At 42.9% G+C, this 6,000-nt stretch overlaps 1 long non-coding RNA gene across 1 annotated transcript in view; it reads left to right on the top strand.

Moving 5' to 3' along the window:
• Positions 1-266: 266 nt before the first annotated feature.
• Positions 267-6,000, top strand: part of LOC105373718 (uncharacterized) — a 93,832-nt gene continuing 88,098 nt past the window's right edge. The window contains exons 1-2 of the long non-coding RNA XR_923526.3: positions 267-419; positions 586-675. This is a non-coding gene — a long non-coding RNA (uncharacterized LOC105373718). The remainder of the gene's footprint in view (positions 420-585; positions 676-6,000) is intronic.

The following is a 6,000-nucleotide window of genomic DNA, read 5'->3' as shown; positions in this document are numbered from 1 at the left end:
AACTTTTCTCTGTGATCAGAGCAGGCGCTAACAGAGGGGAGAAGCCAGGCAGTGGGAGCAGACACCTCCGAGCCTGTAGGGGGAAGGGAAAGCTTTCCCGGGCCCGGGAGAGTACAGTTGTGCCTGGGTCCCCAGCAGCAACTTGGACAGCTGCAGCCACGCCTGGGAGGGTAGGGATCCTGCCTGCTCCTGCCAGCTCTGTGGAATGTGGCACTGCCCCAGACCCAGCTCCACCTTGGGGCCTCTCTCTGCCCGCCCCTCTGTGCCTGACCGCGCTGCTCCCCCACCGGTGGGAGACTGGCTCAGCTCCCAGGGCAGTGGGTGAGGTGCAGGTGGCGCAGCACTCGGGCCAACCCGGCACAAATGAACCTGACGCTCCTAGGGCCGGCCCTGCGTGTACCAGCTGCGCTGTCGGCCAGGTATTCACCTCCCCCAGCATGCAGTGGGAAGTGAGGTTGAGGCCGCGGTGGAGGCCGGGCGCGAGAGCAGGTGCTGCCCGGCCGTGCGAGGGTGGGGGTGGTGCAGTCGGCTGCCTCGGGGACGCGGGGTACAGGGGACCCACCGCCACCACTGCTGCTCTCACAGCTGCTCCTGCTGCCGCCTCTTGCGCCTCCCCACTGCAGCCCACATGATAGCAGCGGCCCCTCCGGATGGCCTGCCGCTGCCATCAGCAAGGTGAGTCATTTTGTCAGTACTCAAAGAAGCCTATTTAAATGGTGTACCCCAGGATGTTCAGTGCACAACCTAGACAATGCTGTCAACCTGCCTCATACTTCTTACCTGCTCCATGTTTACAAACTATAAGATAAAATCCAGAACGAGTGGCACTGATTTGCTGAAATTAGATCATCTCTTTATGGAACAAGTTGTGACTGTTTTCATTTCATTTAGCCAATTATTTTAGAATAAGCTTACTACCAAAAACCTAATAAACCGTATGGAGACATTTATGGGTATGCCAAACCAAGCTAGAATGGAGCAAAGCAGTATCTGTGGCAAAGAGCAAGCTTCTCAGAAGTGCTTTCTAGAGGCATTTTCCAGTAGAGGCACTTTCTCTCCAACCGTCTGTGTTTGCACCTGAATCACATCAGTGTAGCCAGATGCCAAGTCTCTGAGAACCACTGAAGAACACTGGACACAGATTGATGTCAAAATGGGGAAGCAAACCAAAGCAAAAATGCTACTTAACCAGAAAACTTGGGTAGAAAACAGCTGTATGAAAAATGACATAGCCATTCAAAGCACTCTGCCAACGTCTTCCCAAAGTTAGCATACACCCCCAAACACAGTTGCAACACTGCAAGCAGAGACTGAGAGAAAAGAGGGTGGCACTGGGGCCAAAGCTGATTTTTTTTTCTCAAACTTTACTTTGCTCCCTGCCTCCCTGACTCTAGCCCCAGGGCCAGGACAAGGGCCAGGTAGCTACTCCAGCCCCCACATGGAGGAGCGCAGAGCCGACTTTCAGGTTGCATGAACAAACCACCTATGTTGGCATCTTAACAGGTACCAGCCTGCCAGGTTTTATTACCTCTTACACAAACAGGTCTAAAGACCGCAACTTCTGGGGAAGTGATAAGCTTCAGCTGGTTAGCTTGGTTAACATTCCTCTCCTTTCTTTCCTGAAATCCTTTTCCACCAGCTCTTGGGCTTTCTGGGCTGGGCTCTGCATTAAGTCCCTTAACAAAGACTCTCTTTTGTTATACAATTAACTAGACAGTGTCTTTTTGTTAGGTGCTTCTTAATATGTATATTATTGTCTTAACTGAAATATCCAGTGAATTTTAGCACCTGGAAAGACTGTTCTATGTCTCCTGAATCTACCAGATCAACTGTCTGTTCTAAATGTACCAGACACATGCGGTTAAGCAATTCACCCAGTCTTGTCTGAGTTTTGTTATTGTATTGTGCATTATTGTGCCTGATTGGCATGGTATCTTGGCCAAGAATGCAAAAAGGCAGTGATAGGTATAGCTCACTACAGCACACACACACTCATAGGCACACCCACAATACTTGCTGAAGCAGATGAAATTCTTGCACCGAAGCAGGTATTTTAAAAATAGCCCTCCATGGAAAATGAGTCCTTCCTATTAGCAAACAGCGTAATTTAGAATGCTTTGGTGATTAATTTCAGAAATGCTAATTGTGTTAAATTAAGAGGACTAGATACTGCCAATTGACGACTAAATAGACACTCAAAGACCTGAGGTAATATGGAAGGGTACATCTAAGTTTATTCTGCTAAAAAATATCTGGGAATGTCCTCATAATTGACTAACTTTTGGTGCTTCTTAGAAACAGTGTCAGTTTTTCCTTTTATCAAATGGCAAGAAATCTTCCTACCAGACTGATGGGACAGTAGTAAAGGTTTATATACAAGAGGCTAATACATTTCTTTTAAATACAATTATGTATTTTAAAAACAAAGGTACAGAAGTATAACCTATTGAACTAATTCTGCTAAGGCAGCTGTTATGCAGATGATAGTAGACAGTATCCAAACAGCACTAAATATTCATATTCGCCTGAACCATACATATATAGCAATCATGGCTCAGATTATTAAATAAATTTCATCTTTTAGATTGGTGCTTCTCCAGATTGGCCAAAGTCACCCAGGAACTTTTAAAAACTACAGATTGCCTGGCGTTCCTCCAGATGGCAATGTCCAGGAGTGAGTCTGGGTTTTTATTTTTTATAAGAGCCTTAATGATTCTGAGCTAGGTTTGGATCACTGACTTAGAAGGTCAAGATAATTGGCTCTTCATTTGTTGGGTCTGGTTACATTGCTTGTCTTAGAAATCAACAGATGCATCATCTGGTCATCAGTAATATATATGGTTGAGTCAGTCAATATTCATGCAAAAATTTTTCCTAAAATAGAATCTTGGAGAGATCCATCAATGTTTCCTCATCCCTGAAACTGCATTAAAGACCACTCTCTTGATCATCCCCAATCTGATAAATTTAATTTATTGTCAGGACGTAAGAAAGCTGGGTCAATAGTTTAAAAAGCCATTGGAAAATTTAATGTAGTCCTGTTAATAATTTTGTGTCTCAGGCCAGGTGTGGGGGCTCACACCTGCAATCCCAGCACTTCAGGAGGCTGAGGTGGGCGATTGCTTGAGCTCAGGAGTTCAACACCAGCCTGGGCAACATGGTGATACCCTGTCTCTAAAAAATAATAAAAACAATAATTTTGTGGCTGGATATTAGTTTGATAATTGCTCCAAGGCTTTTCCTCCTTGTGTTTCCACTTCCTCCTTCTCCAGTCTGTCTGTATCAGGCTTTCCTCCCTTGATTGTAGCTTCATTATCTCAGGGATAGAAAACAGAGAAAGGCTTCCTCCTGCTGTTTTTCAAAAGCCTAATCCCTCAGGAGAATGTATAAGACTAGAAAGCCAAAGTTAAGAAGGGACATAAATTTTAAAAGGAAAAAAAAAAGGGTAATCTACAAAAGCAGACAGAAGAAAGGGGCTACCCCCATTCCCCAAATATTAAAAATCATCCCTGGGCTAGGAAAGGAAGTAAGGAAGGCATAAGCCAGTACTCCAGGATGTGTAAGAGCCTGAAGCTGGCCACTTGATATTCCAGGCAAAAAGATCAGAGGTTCTGGATGTTCTTGCTTCTAAAAACTACCTGAGTCCCAAGCATGTGAACAGGGACAATGGCCTATTTAGCATTATCTATGTGGCCAGAAGTTGACAGCTCAGACACACTGCCACCCCCACCCCTTGTTTCTTACATGGTATAAGGCTCTGAATTAGTTTGCTATGGCTGCCATTACAAAGTACCACAAACTGGCTGGCTTATGACAGACAATTATTGTATCACAGTTCTGGAAGCCAGCAGTCTGAGATCAGCAGGTTGGCAGGGCCATGTTCCCTCTGAAACCTACAAGGAGAATCCTTCCTTGCCTCTTCCTAGCTTCTGGTGATGCTGGCAATTCTTGGTATTCCTTGGTTTGTAGATGCATCACAGCAATCTCTGTCCCCATTGTCGTAAGGCTGTCTTCTCTACGTCCCATTCCTCCTCTTATAAGGACACCAGTCATATGGATTAAAGGCCCACACTACTCCATTATAATCTTATCTTAAATAGTTATGTCTGTAATGACCCTATTTCCAAGTAAGGTCACATTGTAAGGTACTGCAGGTGAGGACTTCAACATATCTTCATGGGGGAGATAATTCAACCCATAACAAGCCCTTAAATCTCAACCCGACCCCAGAATGAGAAGGATCACCAAGAATTCCTGAGGTGAAATTTCCCACAAATTGGTAAGATCAAGACTTGGATATCATATTAAGTTAAATGAGAGAAAGTAAAAGGGGGAGTAAAAAAATATATCTTGCATACTTGAGTTTGTAGACTGAAAGTGCACTATAATGTTCATTTGAATATTTAATAGTCTATGAGGTGCTTAATTTTTTTTTTTTTTTTTTTTGAGATGGAGTCTTGCTCTGTCACCCAGGCTGGAGTGCAGTGGCACAATCTAGGCTCACTGCAACCTCCACCTCCCAGGTTCAAGCGATTCTCCTGCCTCAGCCTCTCGAGTAGCTGGGACTACAGGAGCATGCTACCACACCCGGCTAATTTTTGTATTTTTAGTAGAGATGGGGTTTCACCATGTTAATCAGGTTGGTCTCGAACACCTGACCTCAAGTGATCAACCCGCCTTGGCCTCCCAAACTGCTGGGATTACAGGCATGAGCCAGTGCGCCCAGCCAGAGGTACTTAATATTTTAACAATCTATTGTGTGCAATAGATCTGATACTTCCTGCAACAGCTCCCTATCCCCACCCTCCATGTTTATGTTTAGCACAGTGGAAGTACCTGTCAAATAGCAAATAAATCAATAAGTAAGTGTTTCATGAGATATTTCAACAGAAAACATACAATTGACAAGATATTAATACAACCTGCTATTTTTCTTTGAAGGTATCAAACTATTTAAAATAAAGTCAGTTTCTTTCATTTCTGAATCTGGTGCTACTATAAAAACCATTTCAGTTAAAGCAACCTAGTTTCATTTATGATGCTCTTTACAACTTTCATAGTTATTTTTATCATAAATTTGTTTTTTTTCTTCGTCTTCAAAAAGTAGATAGATCACTGGGGAGTTGCAATCTCTCCAAAAATTCTAAATGCAGGTACAACATTTAAAGCTCATTTGATTAAAATCATTCCTTAGAACAGTGGCTTTTTGAAAGGTTAATTTTCTTCTAATGTAGTCAGATTTCTGAATCAGAATGCTAGTGCTCCAGCAGCTGTATTTCAGAAATGTCAACCAAAAATTCAGACCCTTATCACCAACTAGGGAAATAAGTTACAGAACTCATGTCACTCTTAAGTTCTAGCAAAAGCACGTTATAGATTACACAGAAACATTTTTAAAGATGGGGCTTTGATTTGACTGACATAACATATTTAGTGACCTTGTTTCATGGATAAAAATAGGTAAACTTTCCCCTGTGTTCTCATCTTTTTGAGGAAGAAACATAAGGATAAAGTCAGATGTTTGCATTGTTGGGTTTGAGCTTCCCTACAGGGGGCATTTACAGCTTTTTCACAGCTCTTGAAGTCAGAAAAAAAGATTTAGCTTTAAAAAAAATACTGTGTGCACCAGTTAGAATGGCGACCATTAAAAAGTCAGGAAACAACAGATGCTGGAGAGGATGTGGAGAAATAGGAACGCTTTTACACTGTTGGTGGGAGTGCAAACTAGTTCAACCATAATGGAAGACAGAGTGGTGATTCCTCAAGGATCTAGAACTAGAAATACCATTTGACCCAGCAATCCCATTACTGGGTATATACCCAAAGGGTTATAAATCATGCTACTATAAAGACACATGCACGCGTATGTTTACTGTGGCATTATTCACAATAACAACGACTTGGAACCAACCCAAATGTCCATCAATGATAGACTGGATTAAGAAAATGTGACACATATACACCATGGACTACTACATGGCCATAAAAAAGGATGAGTTC

The sequence above is a fragment of the Homo sapiens genome, chromosome 2 (assembly GCF_000001405.40).
Source record: "Homo sapiens chromosome 2, GRCh38.p14 Primary Assembly".
In the NCBI taxonomy this organism is placed as follows: Eukaryota; Metazoa; Chordata; class Mammalia; order Primates; family Hominidae; genus Homo; species Homo sapiens.
Note: the sequence above shows the minus strand (reverse complement) of the source record. Positions and strands in the feature narration are given on the sequence as shown.